Here is a 19841-nt window from a genome sequence, read left to right as displayed (position 1 = left end):
CGGCATGTGCAAAAATCTATTAGAACTAATAAGTTTAACAAGATTGCAGGATATAAGGTCAATATATAAAAAGCAATTGTATTTCCATATCAGATACTCAAACTATCAGAAATAAAATATTTAAAAATATATTTACAATAGCATCCACCAAAAAAAAATATTAAACAATTAGGGGTAAATCAGACAGAAGGTGTGAAAGACCTATACACTGAGAACTACAAACCATCACTGAGAGCAAGCAAAGAAGCTCTAAATAAATGGTGACATTCTTTGTTTGTGGATCAGAAAACTCACCATGGTTAAGATTTTACTTCTCCCCAAATTGATCTATACATTCATGCATTCCACATCAAAATCCCAGCAGGCTTATGGCATAAATTGATAAGTTGATTCTAAAATTCATGTGATCATAAAAAAGACCTAGAATAACTAAAACGGTTCTGAAAAAGAACAATGTTGATAGGATAACTCTACCTGATTTCAAGACTTATTATAAAGTAATCAAAGTGTGACATTAGAATCAAACTAGACAAATAGATCAATGGAACAGAATACAGAGTCCATAAATGGATCCACACACATATGGACAACTGATGTTTGACAAAGATTTAAAAGCAATTCAAGGAAGGAAGGACAGTGTTTTCAATAAATGTTGTTAACACAGCTGGATGTATGTAAGCAAACAAAACAAAACAGAAAGAGAGGGTCCAATTCATAATTCACACTGTATATAAAAAATTAACTCAAACTAAGTTATAGATCTAAATGTAAATCATACATTTATAACATTTTTTGGAGAAAATCTTTGTGACCACAGGATAGGCAAAGTCTTTTAGATTCAACATCAAAGTACAATCCATAAGAGAAAATTTTGATAAATTGGACATTATCAAAATTTAAAACTTCATACTTCAAAAGACACTATTAAGAAAATGAAAAGACAAGCTACAGAATGGGTCAAAATATTTGCAGAGCATATATTTGGCAAAGGACTTGTATTCAAAATCTATAACGAACTCTCAAATTCAATAAAAAGAAAACAAGCAATCCAATAAAAAAAATAGACAAAATATTTGAAGAGACATTTTACCAAAGAATATATATGCATGGCAAATAAGCGCATGAAAAGGTGCTCATCATCCTTAGCAATTTTAAAACCACAAAACCACTACACACCTATTAAGATGGCTATAATCTAAAAGACTGATCATGCCAAGTGTTGGCGAGGATCTCAACTTGATACTCTTCTAATGGGAATGTAAAATGATGGAACCACTTCAGAAAAAATAGTTTGGCGGTCTCAAAATCTACAGCTACCATATGATCTAACCATTCCAACTAAAAATACATGAGCACATATGTTCATACAAGACTTGTACATGAATGCGGATAACAGCTTTATTTGTAATAGCCCCAAACTGAAAACAACTCAAAGGTCCATCAACAGGTGAGTGGATAAATACATGAGTGTATTTACATACCATGGAATGCTACTCTGCAGTAAAAAGGAATGAAGAAACCATACAGCAGCAATATGAGTAAATCTCAAATTATTGATACTAAGTGAGAGAAGTCAGGCAGAAAAGAGTGTGTACTGTATGATTCTATTTATATGAAACTCCAGAAAATGCAAACTAATCTATAACAACAGAAAACAGATCAATGGTTGCCTGGGAAGGGTGGGTGGGGGATGAGATGAGGGAGTAATCACAAAGGGGCAAACTTTTACCAAATAAAAGTGAGGATGATGGGTCTATTCACTATCTTCATTGTGGTGAGGGCTTTAGATGTGTATATACATGTCAATACTTGTAAAACTGCACACTTTGAATATGTGTAATATGTCTATTATACCTCAATAAGGTTGTTTTTTAAAAAAGAAGCAACAGCAAATCTCAATCTCTGGTTCATGTGTACCCTCAAATTCCAGTGAATTTTGGAGAGGCTAAGCTCTTCTTAGAACTTTCCCTCTAAGTTCCACTGTGCCCTAATAGGGATGGGCCTGCAAATTCTGAACATCAGCAAACTTCTAACCAGGAAATGAACCTCTCCCTGTCCCCACTTCCTGTAGGTGCTCCCAATCTCTACAGAGCTCTCTCTTGGAACCACCTCCCCGACTTAGATTAAGTTAGGAGAGAAGTAGGGGGATGGGCATGAGAAGGGAGTATCCCCTCTACAAACATTGCGCTTTCTGAAATGACTATAACAAATTTCTGTCCCTCTCCTGACCTATCTTCTTGTGCAGACTGGTGGGGGGCAGTGAGTGGGTGGTTCTTCAAAGCTTCGGTGAAGATTAGGCATACCTGGGATGTTTATTTGCCTCCAAAGGTGATTTCTGACCCTGATTGTTAGCAGCTGCAGGGCAACCTCCTGCTCAGATAGAAAACTCAGGAGAACAACCTCCTGCTCAGATAGAAAACTCAGGAGAACAACCACCTGCTCAGATAGAAAACTCAGGAGAAAGGGAGTCTTGCTGACTGGCTCAGGCTTTGCGAGAGGAGGAGGCTTTCTAAGTGGGAAGTGGGTAGGGGCAGCCATGGGTCCAGAAAGCTTCAAGCTGCCTATCAAGCTAAGACAGTAAATCTTTAATGACTTCTCTTTGGGGAGAATTAAGAGTTGGGGCAGCCAGATAGGGAAGGCAGCAGTGTTTCGTCTCAGGCTTTCTTCCACCACACTCTTTTTCCCTTTTTTGCTCCTCCTTTCAGCACTCAGTGTTGCTGATGAAGGAAACATAGAAAACTCTTTTATGTCTCATATTTTTCTACTATGAATGTAATTTGTAACATACAATTGTTTACTCTTGACCAAAAGTAATTAAATATTTAAATCATGCACACATCATGTCAATTAGAGTAGGTTTTAATGATGCCTGCCGTATTCTGGAGGTTCTGAGAGAGATGGGAGAAAAACTATCCTTGTAAGGGTCTCATAGGAAACTCTAGAACACGCTTGTACAACCTAAGGCCCATGGGCTGCATGCAGCCCGGAATGGCTTTGAATGCAGCCCGACACAAATTTGTCAACTTTCTTAAAACACTATGAGATTTTTTTTGAGTTTTTCTTTTTTAGCTCATCGGCTACCATGAGTATTTTATATGTATTTTATATTTGGCCCAAGACAATTATTCATTTTCTGATGTGGCCGAGGGAAGTGAAAAGATTTGACAGTTCAGAGAGAAGGTTCTCTCTCTGAACTGTTATCTAGAGTTTATCCTTTACTCTTCATTCCCATAAACTGACCTCTCACTTCTAACCTGGCATGAAATTCTCTGCCTCGTCTTTGAGGCTCTTGAGCAAGCCTTGCAAGGATGTCCGAGACGCTGACACCCAGCCCAGTTGTGGTTAATGTGAAACTTTACAAGCAGATCTGCCAGTGAGCATTCTCCTGGCCTTCCAACCTTGCCCAAATGGGCTACATCAATCATTGCTCTGACTGCCTTCTGAGGAAGTCAGGATAAGGGTCTAGTTATTTATGACAACCTCCTGAAGGTTTCTCTCTGCAAACTGGTTCCCTAGGAGAGGAGGTGGTCATTAAACCACCCACCTCCACTGTGCCCTTCCCTTACAAACAAGATCTTATTCTTTAAGTGCGTACTGATGCCAAGAAAGAGATTAGTTTGGTGGGGGAGAGGGAAATTCAAGCAACAGAGAAACTTACAGTGGATCTTAGAGCTACAGAAAAATCACCTTGCCCACTCTCTAACAAGAGCCCTAAGATCCAGGGAAGGAATGTGTCCTAGCCTACATATGCCATTCAGAGGCAGGACTGGAACTAGAAGTCAAGTGCCCCTCTACCCCTCAGTCAAGGATTCTTTTCTGTAGCCATTTTTATTTTCAGAGAAAATTTCTGAGTAACTGCAAGATGTCTCAGAATCCTGCAAACATATTCATTTTTCTTTCTTTGAGAACTGAGTTTCATGATCAGGATGAAACTTCCTTTTCTGGAATGGGGTACCTCAGAGTCTTATTTTGGTTGGAAGAAGGAGGGATCACCTTTAAGAATGCAGATAGAGCAACAGAGCAGGAGAAACCCTCCCAACAATCCCTGGGAGGTCATTTGTATTAACTCTGTGTTGTAGATTAGCAAAGGGAAGACCAAAGAGTTAAAGCAGTTTGCCCTACTCAGTATTTTAATCCATGGGTGATTAAATTTGAATGATTTAAGAAATAAAAGAGAATAGAGATGGAGGCCAAAACAGCACCTTTACAGGTTATAGTTGGAGACAAATGGGTCTTATGGCAGAGAGTGGTTAGACGCTCAGCAAACCTGCTTCCTCTTCTTGCTGGCCATCATTAGACCACAGTTCCCAGCCTTGTTCCTTGTATGTGGTCATGTGACTTAGTTCTGGCCAGTAGAATGTGGGCAAAAGTGTTACACATCACTTACCAGTAAGATCCATAAAATTCTCTGACATATAATTCTCCATTCGCCCTCTTTTTCTTCATCTGCTGGTTGAATGATCCAAGAAGGCCCTAGAACAAGATTTTTCAACTTCAGCACTACTGGCATTTAGGCCAGATAATTCTTTATTAGAGATTGTCCTGTATACTGTAGGATATTTAGCAGCATCTCTGGTGTCTACCTACTAGATGCCAGTAGCATTCCCCACTCTCCAGTTGTGACAACCAAAATGTTTCTAGACGTTTCCAAATGCCCCATCTGTGGCAAGATCATCCCTGGTTGAGAACCACTGTTCTAGAAGATGCCAGAGCCACACAATGGAGGGAACTTGGGTCCTGAATGACTGCATGAAGCAGAGCACCCTTTTCACATCTTCCAGTGACATGAGCAAGAAATTAACTTTTAGGCTGGGCATGGTGGTTCATGCCTGTAATCCCAGCATTTTGAGAGGCCAAAATGGGCAGATAGATCACTTGAGCCCAGAAGTTTGAAACCAGCGTGGGCAACATGGTAAAACTCCATCTCTACAAAAAAATACAAAAAATTAACCTGGTGTGGTGGCATGTGCCTATGCTTCCAGCTACTTGGGACGCTGAGGTGGGAGGATCACATGAACCCAAGAGCTCTAGGGTGCAGTAAGCTTGATTCTGCTACTACACTCCAGCCTGGTGACAGGGTAAACACTGTCTCAAAAAAAAAAAAAAAAAAAAGAAAAGAAAAGAAAAAAAAAGAAATTAACTTTTACCGCAGTTTGGGAGATGTTGGTTCAAAAGGTATCCTGAATGACATAGTACAGCTAAATCATCCCCCTAAGTAGGCAGACTTTCCCAACCAAGCACAGCAGCACTATATGAGGCCATCCTTGGCTATCAGGACAAGACCCAAGAGCAAGAGCAGAAAGTGTGCTTCTTGTAGACAGACAGCCCTCAAGATAAAGAAAGTAGCAGAACTGTGCTTTACATGCCCTAAAGTTCTTCCCAAATTCACCAATCAGATGTCACTTCTCATCTACAGGGGCAGAGAAATCTGAAATGTGCATAGTGAAAAAGCCTTCTTCTCAGAAACTCCCTCTTCATGAAACCAGGAGGCTCTGTTCCAGGGGACCCTAGAGCCTGCTGTCTTTCCCCTACACCAGAAGATCTGACTCAGTACAGAAAATGACCTGTATTCTGCTCAGTATGAAATATGGCCTGTGTTCTCATTTTCTCATTAAATGCTTTATCTTATTTTGTTATCGAAGTCAAGGCTCAGTCTTCAGCCAAGGCCGAGGGTCCGTCTGTGACTAGACTGAAGCCTCACTTTGGGACTAGCCAGTTCAGCCCATCAAGGACAGGAGTTGGTCTGTGACAGGAAAACAGAACTGGGCTGGAGAAGGGTAAAATTCACAGCCTCATCCTGAATTAACTCATGAATTTTGCCCAGCGCTCCCATCACACAATCCATTTCCTTTCTTCATTGTCCTTTATTTTTCTAAACAGGCCAGTGATACACTAACTGCTTCCCATAAAGCTGTCAAGAGAATGCAATGAGTGATCTCAGTCCAGGAGGAGCAGACCAGTGAAAAGGAAATAACTGGCTGGAAGCCAAGCAACACGGACCCACATCCAGATCTGATCTGTCACTAACTGATTATTCCAAACTGGACATACTACTTTCCTTCTCTGGACCTCCGTTCCCTCTGCATAAGGTAGGAATATTAAGTGGGGCATCTCTTTTAATTTTATTTTAATTGCACTAAGAAGTATTAAATCAAGATCCTGTCTTACATCTATCATTAATGGTAACCACGTGCTGCTGCTTTTCCCTCCCTCATTGCTCCTCAGGTCCAGCTCAACTTTGGATGTTGTGAAACTCATAAAGCTGCAATAGCCCACAGTAGGTCTTCTTTATCCCAGACTGTCTCCAAACCCCAGCCTATTTCACTGGGAAAAAGACTAGATACATTACTAGGACCCTTAAGTTATATTATCCTAGAATTCTAGGATTCTAAGATTCTAATCTACATCTTTACTAGTCTAGATTCTAGTCTAAATATCTGGTAGCCTAAAAGGCTTTGAGTCTGAATTCTTTTTTTTTTTTTTTTTTTTTTTTTTTTTTTTTTTTTTTTTGAGACAAGGTCTTGCTCTGTTGCCCAGGCTGGAGTGCAGTGACATGATCATAGCTCACTCCAGCCTCAAACTCCTAGGCTTAAGTGATCCTCCCACCTCAGCCACCAAGTAGCTGCAACTAGAAGCTTGTGCCACCATGCCCGTCTATTTTTTTAGACGGCTAGCACAGGCTGGCCTCAAACTCCTGGGCTCAAGCAATCCACCTCCCTCAGCCTCCCAAAGTGCTGGGATTACAGGCATGAGTCCATTCATGGCTCTTTGAGTCTTAATTCTAAAGCCCTAAAAGTCCAGACTTCTAACTAACTTGAGTTAAATGAGGTTACATAATAGTAATAGCTCAAATTTTCACTGGCTCCTGCCCCCAGGGTTCCCAAATTCCTCATAGGTATCTTTCACGTCCTTATGAACACATTTGGTCAGTGAGAATGCAGCACCTTCTGTTCCTCTCTGCAGCTTCCACCTTTCCCCACTCTTCAGCCAGGTCTACCTGCCTATTGCCAATCATTACCTGGCCATTTCCCACCCCTACCTCCACCACACACACACCAGTTAGCTACATCTGTTTAGCCTCATCTAAACCTAATGGAGGACAGAGGCCTAGACTCAAACTAAGCTCCTCACTTCTGAAATTCTTATCATTTGATATTTCAGTGCCCCCTATTTCTGTTTCAGATAGTTTAGAATTCCAAGTTTCTCACAATTTATAATCTGACTATCCTTGGACATTAATAATCTCAGCTTGAAAGATGTTTAGATTCTAAAACACCAGGCTTCTAATTCAGTGGGAGATGCCAGAGTATCTCCTACTCCCTCTCAGAGGCTCTGGAATCAAGGAAGTCAGAGAGGCCTTAGCCAGCTCTGAGAGAGCCTATGAGAGGGAGTAATAGGTCTAAGGTGGGAACAACACCACATGGAAAGAGTGCTGTGGACTCAGGGTGGAAGGAAGAGCAATCAAGCTTCTCTGTAGAATGCCCAGAGTGGTCACACCCCAGCAGGCTTCCCAGGCCCTTGGCAAGCAGTGAGCACCAACTTAACAACCTCCAATCAAGTGTGTTATTTATTTTACAAGTGACTATAAATATCAAAATAAAACTGAGAGTTTATGTACATGAGCTGGCCCCAGAGCTATTAAACTGCTAGTGGCTGTACATTTAGGAAGTTCTCCTCCCAGGGCTAAGGGTGGGACTGCCTGGCCTTTTGCAAACTTGGTCCTAGCAAGTCCTAGCAACTCTGAACCTGGTCTCCCACGGTTCAGAGTTTCGGAGGTCTGATTCTTCCCAGCTTGGCTGCAGACCCCTCTAGCTCTGGTGAGTGGTGGATACATGGAGTAGGTTTCAGAACAGTGGAAGTGATTTAGGCGTGTGTTGGGAAACTGGGGCCTCGTTCAAATGTCTGATTTCATAAGAAGCCCAGAAGGCTGGCAGAAATTCTTGGCCCAACGTATCCCAGAGCCAGGAGCATCATCTGCAGCCAGAAGCAAGGAAGTCTCAGCTTGGAGGAAATTGAGGGCAGAAAGAGAATTTTCTCTGTCGTAGCAGGGCTGGGCCTTCAACAGAAATGGCTCCAATATACTCCCTGTTGCTATGGAGAAGTTTTGACACATACCTCTATCAGCCAATCAGCTCCTCTGTGTGTCAGTCAATATGGGGGTCAGCCAGGTCTGTCATTCATGATCATTATCAATAAAGCATTATCACGGAGACAAAGCCAGCCCTTAGCCTGGTCTTCAAATCTTTTACATCTTGACCTCAAGCCCTTTCCAGTCTCACGTTCTGCCCCTCTCCATTGTAAACCCCACTTGTTCCCCCCAAATCCTGCTTTGCACCAGCATGTCTCAGCCTGCACTCTCTGTTCCCTCCCTCTTCTGGTGGTCATTTACTCAACTCAGAGGCAGATGAAATATTTCCTCCTCTTCTGTGAATCCTATTCTAACTCCCCAGGTGCTGGGGTCATGCTTCTCTTTAGTACTTAAAGAACTACTTTGTAATGTTCCATTTAAATGTCAGCCTCCCTATTAGACTGCACCATTTCTCATATCTGCATTCCCAGCCCCTAGCACAGGGCCTGGAACGGTATTTTATTTGGATATTTGCAGACATGGAGGAGTAGGAAGTGTGGTTAAAGCACATCAGAATAAAATGGAAGAATCTGTTTCGATTCAGTGAAAACAAGGTGACCTCTGAAAGGATAGCAGGAGAAAGGCCAGAGTGAGACATGAGGACAGCTTGTGCTGGGCTTTAACCCGAGAGAGATGTCTGGCCTTTGTGCTGCTGCTCCTCTCTTTACCAATGGGATGATCACAGGCAGATTACTTAACCTCATCTGTAAAACGATGGTGGCTATGAGGATTAACTGAGTTAATGCATGTAAAATACTAGGACAGTGCCTGGCACATAATAAGCATTAGAAAGATATGAACTTTTATAGTAGTAATTGAACTGCTGGAAAGGGTAGTGTTGGTAGTAGTGACACCATTGTGTAGGTTATGAGGAAAACAAAGCCTTGCTAGCCAGGCTGAAATAGGCAATAGAGGTTGGCTTCTAGTGGAAATTGAGGCTTCCCCATTTTTACCAAGGTTACTCATGCTGTGACCCACATGGATAAAGGTCAAGGGCACTGCTGAGCCCACGATGAGGGGAGAGTTCTCAGTGTTCTGAAGTAACACTCAGGCTGTCTGTCATGTAACATAGTATGTTTTGGATTTAATTCCTCTTAGGTCCCAGTCCTGAGTCTCTCTGTCTTTCTCTATATCTGTGTCTGTCTGTCTGTCTTTCTGACTATCTGTCTCTCTCTCAACTTGAGTGGAAATGCTTTCTTTCCCTTCGCTTTCCTTTTCTTAGGTTTTTCTGTTTCATAATTCTCTACCCTTCTCTTCTACCTTAAAGACATGACTGACAGCATAATGTAGTATAAAGAACATCAGATGGGGAGTCAGAAGAGCTGGGTTCCAGCCCTAACATCTGGTGGAATCCTGGCCAAGTGTCTTCCCTCTCTGAACCTAAGCGTCTTCCTGTCAACAAAGAAGACCTCAAGTTGCATGTTGTTCAAAAGCCCTTTCTGATTCCGAATGTCTGTATGTCTCTGTAGCAATGTTCTCATATTGAAATTTCTCTGTGCCTATGGAAATCATATGGAGAATTTGGTTTCATTCATTATTCAGCCAACGTTGATTGAGCACAGATAATATGTCAGGCATTCTACTGGGTGATGGGGATCCTGGGGTGAACAAGCCAGACAAAGTCCCTGCCTAGAAGGAGCTTACATTCAAGAGTCTTGAGGAACACTAGATGATAAATGCATTACTTCACAATCACAGCTGAAGATAAGAGGAATTGATGTGTACTGCACACCTCCCATGGCAGGTGGTATGCTAGACACAGTGGCCTGGGTCATCCCAGTTGATCCTCACAATCACCTTAAGAGTTATTGTCATGCCCATTAAAGACTAAAATGAGGCTAAGAGACATTCGGTAGCTTAGTCAATGTCACCCAGCTAGGTGTGATGGAGATGAGTCCAATAGCACACCTGGTGTCCTTTTCTCATGAGCACACTCTCTGTTCTCTCTGGATTCTGCATTCTGAGGTCTGGGCACACCAGGAGAGCAAATCTCAGAGCCCCACTTCTCAGGAAATACCCCAAGGCACTTTCTCTGGCCCTTGCTGGAACATCTACGCTTCAGACCACCATAGCTCACTCCCTCTGTCCCAACGTCTCAGCAGGGAGAGCTGTGAGATTTGTAGTTGGATTCTGCCCTCCTGGCCCATATCCCTATAAAATAGCAAGCAGAGAAAAGAGGGCGGAACACAATTTAAAAAAATAAACACTGACGCAGATAAGAAATGACTGGGGAGTCTTGGGGATTTATGCCTCATGAAGTGAGATGGCAAAGGAGGCCAGACAGGGAGCAGACAGCCCTGACGCCTCTGCCTCATGGATAATTTATCCCAGAAAGTAGAAGCCTCTGTTTGCAACTCACACAGGCCAGAGTGGTTTTCTGGGTCTTCCTAGCCCACTGTCTGAGGAGACCCAGGCTGAGTCAGAAGTTTTGTTTTCCCAGACTAAACCCACATGTGTGATACTTTTTTATGTCTTTCTACTTCGATGATTTGTTGGAGGTTCATCTTACACTCCCAGTGAGGCTGACAGGACGGAGACCCTTATCCCTGTTGGTCAGGTGAGAAAGTTGAAGCTAACAGACCCTTACCCAGGCATGCCCAGGGAATTGGGAGTATGAGCCATGGTTGGTTGACATTACAGCTCCCATAGGTACGCATTTCCCTCCTTCTCATTCTCCTTCCCCAACTCTAACCCACCCTTAAATTAACTCTGTTTAGCTAATGAATTAATTCAACTACCCTTTATGGAGTAATAATATGTACTAAGACTGCTGCAGACACAGAGATGAACAAGATAAAGGCAGATGTTACAAACAAATGAACACTTTTTAAATACATGTTGTTGGTGATTATAAAGATTATGTTAATTGAGGGTCTCTCTCCAACATAATAATCAGCAGAACTGAAAAGCAGAAGAAATTAACTAAAAACCGTAGGGATAAAATGAAAGAGGTAATCAATGCTTGGGTCAAGCACAAGAAAGACTTTATTTGCTGGGTTCTTCAAAAGCAATTCAATGGGCATTGGGAAGGTTCTTGTCCTGGATGATGTCCCAGCAAATGAGTTCATGGATAGGAACATGCTTCAAGATTAATAAGGAGCTGACAGTCACACTCGATTGTGATGTGGATGCTTAACTTGGCTGTGTGGCAGGCCCTCAAGCATTTTTATATCCACCAGCTGCTATAGAGGTAAAGCTCAATCTTCATGTAGGATGAAAAGAATTCAGGTTTTGATCTGATTAACTTGGTTTTTAATCCCCACTAGCTGTATGCTTAGAGCTAGTTGCTTAGCCTCTCCCAATCTGTTTTCTCAACCATGAAATACAGGTAGCAATATCTACCTCAGAGTTTTGCCTTGGAAAAAAAACATAAACTACATTAGTCCACATTTCATGGGAGGCCCCAAGATAATGGACACCACCTCTGCAAGTACAGTGTAGGACCAACCTGTAAGAACTGCAAAAGATTGTATTAAAAACTACTTTTGAGGTTCCTTGCTGATCCTTACTCAACTCTGGCATATAAAAGAGGTGGGAGAGGCCAAGAACAAAGTGGGGGATTAGATAGGGTTTTTCTGGAAAGAGCTGTAAGTACATCGTGTGTCTTTGTCCACTCCCTCCATTAACTCAAGCCCGGGGAAAGTGACTTTAATGGGATAGTTGGAGAACATGATGTTTTCCCTATATTTGGGGGATACTGTAAACTAGAATCTGATTCCCACTGCTAAATGTAAAAGGTTAGATGCCGGCTGACCAGCTGCCCAACAGAAGAATAAAGGGAGGTTGCTGCACTGGGGACAATGTAAATTCTCAGTTTATCAAGGTAGAGAATGCAGATGTGTTTTCTTGAACTAGATCTGGAACACACGACAGAGAGATGGTCTAAGTCTTCCTAAACCCTGTCAGAGGACCATCTAGTGGGATGAAGGACCTCAGCATAAAGAGGCAGGTGGTGCTGGAAGATGCCTAGGGGCTGGGGAAGGAATCTGAAGGAGCCAGCTAGAATCAAAATGCATTTACCCACATCAGGGATCACCTGCATGAGTTGGGGGTGGGGATTTTCCAAAGAACCCACAAATATACCAAATGAAAGAAGAAGTAAGGTTAATGCCTGCCAAGCTCAGAGAGACCCTGTATCTTCAATTCTATACTTGTCCAGTAAAAATTCTCCTGTTCCTCTTCCTTCTTTTTCTCTTCCCATTCCTGACAATAGAGATATATATATATATATATATATATATAAATCCACAATGGTTAGCAAGACATAGACAGAGAAGTAGAAAGAAGAAACAGCCCCTTTCTCACTGCAGGAGATTGAGCCTCTTTCTCACTGCAGGCCAGCAGCAGTTCCAGGTCCAAGCAAGTAGTGAGGGGAAAAAAAATCTTGCTTTTAAAGGAAGTTTGAAGTTTATTACTGCTATTATTGTTAATAGGTTAACAGTAGTGCTATGGTTTAAATGTGTTCCCTGAAAAGCATGTGTTGGAAACTTAATCCCCAATGCAACAGTGTTGGGAGGTGGGGCTTAATGAGAGGTAATTAGGCCATGAGGGCTCCACCCTCATGAATGGATTAATGCCAATTATAAAAGGGCGTGAGGCTGGGAGTTCAATCTCTTGCCCTCTCTTTGCCTTTCCACCATGGGACGATGCAGCAGGAGGGCCCTCGCCAGATGCCAGCTCCTTGATCTTGGACTTCCTATCCTCCAGAACCATAAGAAATAAATTTCTCTTCCTTCTAAATTACCCGGTCTCAGTTATTCTGCTATAGCAGCACAAAATGGACTAAGATGAGTAATAGTAGTATCCTAGACAAGTTAATTACCGAGCAGAAACAATATTTTGTGATTTAAGACAGATGGGGAAATTTGTATTACCTAAGAGAAAACAGAAGAGTCATAAAGCAAGTCCCAGATTTCATCAAAAAGAACAAAAGAGACTCAGAAGTGCAGAATAACTGATGAAAGTTGTTTCTTGATTATTCCCCCATGAGTCTGGCTTATTCAATGTAACAGTTACATGAGATAACATTGTCATCCCTTCCTTGAACACAGTTGACCTGAGTATATCTGAGTTTGCATCTACCATGTCTCTCGACTTGGTTGACCAGCAGTGGACAAAGTCAAACAGCTAGGTTGTCTTCGAGCAGATACTGTGTATCTGGCCTTTTCTCTAACCCAAGGGTAGAGATAGGAGGAGACCCAGTCTTAATCCTTGGCCAACATGCAGGTCACAGGGTTGGAAAGCCCCTTAGAGATGTATGGATGGGGTGGCAGAGACCAGAGAGGGGTTAGTTTCCCAAATCCATTGTACAGCCAGGCATGGAACCTGGTTCTCCTCTGTCCCTCTTCCCTAACTATCCTATTACTCCCTCCACACAACCTCCACCTAGAAACCTAAGACAGGGTAGAATCAAGTGCTAGGTTGACCAATCTGATGGTATCTACCATTTATTGAGCATCTACTATGTGCTAGGATATAAGCTAGCCCTAATTCTAATAATAACCTTCCAAGGTAGTGGTATCAGTAGCTTTTTCATAGATGAGGAAATTGAAGCCCATGAGGTTAAACAACTTGTCCATGGTCATATAGCCATTAAGGGGTAAAGCTGGGATTCAAACCAGTCAGCCTGACTCCAAAGCCAGTGATCTTGTCACACTGCCTTACCATCTCTCCTGAGGGCTGCTGGAACCAGGAAAGAGTGGTGCCAGCAAGGCTACAGGTGCGTCCACAAAGCCCCAAAGGGAGCCCCCAGGCTTCCCACAGTGCCATCTTTGTGGAAAAGAAATGGTGCAGACTGGCCCACATGCTCGCCCAAAGCCAAAATGACCAGAATAGGCTTGCACATTACCAATTCCTTCCAAGCAACTAAAAGTGATGCAAATTTTTGAAATTATAAAGCTGAATAACTTTTAATTAGTTGGCAAATTACATGGCCAGAGGGGCCTTACTCTGTTCTCTGCAGTAGATATTAACTTTATTAACTTTGTTCCTTTTGCAAGTTAAGTTGGTTCTTTGTGAAGGTGGGTGCGTGCGAGTGTGGTAAGTTCTCATTTTATTTGGCAGGAATTTTGGCTGAGATTTACAAGGAAAAGATACTTTTAGATTTTTCTTCTGATGGTGAACTTGGCCTCCCTTACTCCCTACTGAAACTCTACTCTTTGGAGGCGGAAACGGGGGATAAAAAAAGGATAAAGAAAGACAGAAATTAGGCGGCGAAAACAACTGAAGAATAAATAATCCTCTTAAACCAGTCACTGGGAGAGGCAACGGAAAGAGCCCGAGACGGGGGAAGGGGGGGCGGGGAGCAGGCGGGGTGGGTTCTGGTTGGGTGATTCACTTACTAGCTGGCTTTCTGACCTTGGACAAATGACCTAATCTCTACAGGTCTCTGTTACCCTGTCTGTAACATGGAGAGGATAACCCCAGCTCAAAGGCCTCCCTCAGGTCTGCTGAGAGGATCAAGTGGGATATCATCTGATAAAGTGATTTGACTTTTACAAAGGACTGTCCAAATAGAAGGTTGTGGTGTTATCTCTGACATCTGAAGCGAGGTCCTTGGATGTTCCTGGAGTCAAACCTGACAACAAGGAAACTTTCAGCATGACCGAGAAAAGGGTCTCCCTTAGCTCAGCTCCTGGGAGGGCCCCTGAAGGAGATATAAAATGTGAGTCTGTGGGTGGGAGTGATTGTGCTGGGCATATTTAATGTATGTCAGCATTCACTCACACTTTTGAGTGTGCACATCTTATTTCTTGTATATACAAAACTGATGTGTGTGAATGCCTGTGTCAATATGGTGGGCAGAGAGGGTCATTTATTCGTTCATTCCAGGAATGAGTTTTGAGGATTTACTCTGCTCTCTAGATGCTGGAGATTCAGTGGAGAACAAGACAGACTAGCATTTGCATGTACGTAAGAGTGTTTATAAGAAAACATGAGTTCTTAAGTGTATGGAGTATTAAGTGCATATGTGAGAATATCTGTGTGAAAACACATGTCCTTATGTATTAGGAAGTGTGTACTTGTGTAAGAGTTTGCATGTGAGTGTTTGAGAATCCGTGTATTTGTTCCTATGTGTGGTGAGAGAAAAAAAGAAAGAAACAATTCTTGGTCACCCTAGAGGGCATCAAATTTTGTTAAAATACCTTAGAGCTGAAAGACCCTGTCTTAGTCCATTTGTGCTGCTATAACAAAGTATCAGAGAACAGAAATTTATTTCTTATAGTTCTGAAGTTTGGGGAGTCCCAGATCAAAACACTGCCATTGGTCTCTGGTAAAGGTTGCTGTCTGCCTCTGAGATGATGCCTTGTTGCTGCGTCTTCCAGAGTGGAGGAACACTGCGTCCTCACATGGTGGAAGGCAGAAGGTGAGATAGTGCTCCCTTCAACCTGAGCTCTTTCATAAGGGGCCAAATCCCATTCATGAGAATAGAACCCTCATGACTTAATCACCTCCCACAGGCCACACCTCTTAGTACTGTTGCATTGGGGATTCTGTTTCAACATGGATTTTGGAGGAAGCACAAACATTCAAACTATAGGAGACTCTGAGCTTTCATCTAGTTCAATCCTTAACATTCCAGATAAGGAACCAGAGAAAGGAAACAGTGTGTATAAGGTGACCAGATGGCCAAACAAGGGCCAGAATATACACCTACGGCTTTTGAGCCCAGGCATCTTTTCCTAATGAGGATGTGCGTAAATGTGAATGTAAACTGTGCATCTGCAAGGAAGAATCTGGGAGAGCAAATGGAAAGGTTGGCCTGGCTCGAATATGGAGAACCCTGAATGCCATGCCAGGAGGATTTGAGCAGGAGGGCAGAGTGGTCAGGTTTCTGCCTTCTAGGTGTCCTTCTACTGTGGAGAAAATCAGCTGGAGCAAGAGACACTGCAGGGGAGAGATTGTGAGAGGGCAGGTGGAGCCGTCCTGGTGAGAGGGGATGACACCTGAATTAGGGAGAGGGGAATAAAGGATGAGGTGGGGCCGGGCACGGTGGCTCACACCTGTAATCCCAGCACTTTGGGAGGCCGAGGCAGGTGGATCACGAGGTCAGGAGATCGAGACCATCCTGGCTAACATGGTGAAACCCCGTCCCTACAAAAAAAAAAAAAAAAAAAAATTAGCCAGGCATGGTGGCGGGTGCCTGTAGTCCCAGCTACTCAGGAGGCTGAGGCAGGAGAATGGTGTGAACCCAGGAGGCGGAGCTTGCAGTGGGCCGAGATCGCGCCACTGCACTCCAGCCTGGGTGACAGAGTGAGAATACGTCTCAAAAAAAATATAAAAAGGATGAGGTGGGCAGGGGAATGCTTCTAGCCTAGAATCAGAGGCTTTTATATCCGTTAGGATGTGGAAAGTGAGCTCACACATTCCAATCGTTTACACGATAAGGCAGTTTCCCCTAAACCTGAGAACCAGGAGGAGCCTGGGAGACTTTACAAGCATCTCATTAAAACTTCTCAATAGCCTGGTGAGGAGGCCATTATTTTCCCCATGTTACTGAAGACAACTGTGGCTCAGAGTGAGAGGCAGCTGCCCAAAGACACATAGTCTGATTTTGGTGGATCTAAAATAAGAGCCCAGGTCTTATGTGCTTAACAAAATATTGCATAAGTCAGCAATCACTTATTAAGCATCTACTTTGTGCCAGGAACTGTACTTGGCACTTTAGGCACATTACTTCATGTAAGCCTTCTGATGACCCTTTCTCCATTTTTCCAGTGAAGAAAATGAGATTCAGGGGTATGACCAAGAGTACACAGTTGGTTCAACCTGTACCTGAACCCAAGCCATCTGATTCCAATGCCCATCGTTTTCAACGATTCTGCATTTCCTTTCAAAATCGGAACAAATGTGCATGCAGTAGTTTAGGAAGAAGTGAATTTAGGAATTCCCATCCCTAGAGAATGTACAGGCTTAGATTATGGGCTGATTCAAAACAGTTTTATCAAATGCCTGGGTGATAAGTCCATGCTGCAGATTGAAGAGTCCTATTCCTAATCAACAAAAACCACATACAGGAAGTCAGATTGGGCCTCCTAAATCCCATCGCCTGCCTTTCTCAGGGGTAGAGCAACTGTGGTCTCTACTGGGTCCCAAGAGCAACCATATGGGGTTGGAGGCTGGAAATCAAGACATATGGGACACAGGGTCCCAATAATTTCATTGTGAGGCCCAGGCAAGACCTTGTGGGTATGGGTCCTTCCAGCTCCCGCCATTTGGGATTCTATGTCCTCATCCACTCGCAGACACAACGTGCTTGTCCTTCAGTGACAGAAGGCTTGGTCTTTGCATCAATGCCAGCCTGGTTCCCTCACCCTGAGCAAGTATAGGAACTGAAAGCCTTCACGTCGCACACTTAGACCCGCTTCCTCAGATCCTGAGCCCACCCTGTCTAATGCAGAGAGGATAATGAGCCCCTCCTACTGGAGGCTGAGATCTAGAATTTGTCTGATTTTCCTAAGGCCTGTCTCAGGTTCAACTGCACTGAGACTCTCTAGCCCTGCCACTCTTTCAGATGTTTCCTGCTATCTACTCTATTCCCGTTTCCTCAAATCGCTGACTGACGTCCTATTATAAACCAGACAGGACGTGGAGAACCTGCCTTCCAAGACTGCCATGCATGTCCCTGAGATACCCACTGCCAACCCTAGTCAGAGGCCCTGGATGAGGCATCAGAATGGATGGGGCCTAAATACCACACCCCCTCCTGAACTTTGATCTCCAAAACTGGTCACTCTGATAGCCTGAGGCTATGCCAGCTCCAATACTACCTTTGTCTTCCCCCACCAACTTCTCTGCCAAGACCCCAACATGCCTTTGGTCAAACTTACCCATTTTACCTCAATTGAGTTGATTTCTTCTGACTTTTTTGTTCCGGAGTCTCTAACCTCACCCCACCCTAATCACTGAAACTAATTCCTGGCCCCACTTGAAAGGCCTTTCAGACTGAGTGAAAGTAATCTTCTACCCCAAGCACGCTGACACATCAAGTCCCCAAGGGTACTTTCTTCCTGACCAGAAATGCCATCAGAGAGTCCAGGAAGGGCTTGGCATACTGCCCTTATCAAGGTCTCATCAACATTCATTCCAAGAAAACACAGTTGTCAGAAGACACACCCAAGAAAGTGGCCAGGAAGTAACCAGTCATCTGAATTATTTACTGTCACCTGGAACCTAGCCAACTAGATGCCAGCCATGCAGATGCTGGGAAAATATTTATGTGGGTCTTGATGGATGCTTGGCCAGGAATGACTGCCCCCTGTCATCTTTCCTTCCTCCTGATAAGGTAAAGCTACACATGTCAGACAGCTCTTAGAAGAGCCCGACAGCTGAGGCCTGGCATCCGATCAGAGCCGGGTGAGTGGCCAGTCCTTGGTTCCAGACCTGTCTCTGCTACCAGAAAGTTCTGCCCCTCCCAGGGCCTCCACTTCTCCATCTAGTAGACTGGATGAACTCAAGGTTTCTGTGGTCCTATAAGATTGTGACTCAGACAGAGTCGAATGTATTTTCCAGATCTGCCATCATGATGCCATTGGTTCATCACAGAGCTATTTTTCTTGGCATCGTGGAACGTTCTTAAAATTCCAACATCCTAGGATTTCTGTATTCACTGTTCCAGTTTCTGTAATCAGATGGGAGAACTCCATCTGGAGGAGGAAGATCTGAGCTTAAAATAAAGGGGTAAAATGGAAGAGGGGAAATTGAGTTCAAGGAGTGTTTTTCATGCATCCACTAATTGCAAAGCACAATGCAGAGCCCATGCTGGTAGCGGAGTGCCCCCAGGTTTTGTCCTCTAAACCACACGGAGCCCCGGTCCTGTTCTCTATGAGCTTACAATGTCAGTGATGAGGGTGGCTGACAAGGCTCATTTTATTCCCCAATGCTCTTCGTGTTTCTTCTTTCTTGTAAACCCCAGGATCTCTGCCTGCTGCCCTCCTCGGCTCTGGAATTCTGTCCCCATCAATGATCTTCCTGGGCTCCTTTCTGGGAGGAGTTCTGGCCTCCCAACTCTCCATTCCTTGTAGACAACCTGACCTTGCAAGTCCTTCTCCACTTCAGAGTTTACGGCTAGTTCCCTTGAAGACCCACCTGAAGTAGCAGTTGTGGATACAGACACAGGACGAAGGTTCGGGAGCCTCCAGAGTTCTCTCAAACATTGTCTCTACTCAGATGCTCCTGATGCCTCCTCTGAGATGCTCAGTGTCATCTCAGGAAACTGCTGCCTACCTCAGTTTCCCTGAGCAGGAAGCTCTTCTGGCCCTTTTCTCTCCTCAGACCTGCACCTCTCTAGGAAGTCTCTGTATCCCAATGTGAAAATGTGATCTGCTGTAGTGGCCACTGAGGTTGGAATTTGAGTCTTCTAGGCTGAGTGAGTGAATTCAATGGGTCTTTCCCCAAGACAGTCATTGGGACAGGCCTGGTTGGTTTGGGCATCATCTCAGTTTATCTGGTCTGAAGAACTATTCCTGTGGACTCTCCTGGTCTCCATTCAGCAGATACTCACTTCACACCTATTCTTTGCTGGACACCATGCAAGGCATGAGTAAGGCAATATGCAAAGATAGACAAAGCTCTGTCCTCTCTACCTCCCCAGGTGCCTGGGATTCTCAAACCATGGCCTAGGACATGACCAGGCAAGTCTCTCAACCTCTTGTCCCTTGTCGTTCCTTGTTCCCTCATCACAATTCTTTCTAGTTACCTGCCTCACTCATGA

The 19841-nt window shown here is 43.7% G+C and overlaps 1 long non-coding RNA gene across 6 annotated transcripts in view; it reads right to left on the bottom strand.

Annotated features, from left to right (window-relative positions):
- LINC02794 (long intergenic non-protein coding RNA 2794) overlaps nt 1–19841 on the bottom strand; it is a 131616-nt gene that overhangs the window by 92967 nt on the left and 18808 nt on the right. For all 6 annotated transcript variants that reach the window (XR_007066068.1, XR_007066073.1, XR_007066072.1 and 3 more), the window contains one exon: nt 4388–4473. This is a non-coding gene — a long non-coding RNA (long intergenic non-protein coding RNA 2794). The remainder of the gene's footprint in view (nt 1–4387; nt 4474–19841) is intronic.

The sequence above is a fragment of the Homo sapiens genome, chromosome 1 (assembly GCF_000001405.40).
Source record: "Homo sapiens chromosome 1, GRCh38.p14 Primary Assembly".
NCBI lineage: Eukaryota > Metazoa > Chordata > Mammalia > Primates > Hominidae > Homo > Homo sapiens.
This window is presented reverse-complemented; position numbering and strand designations above follow the sequence as displayed.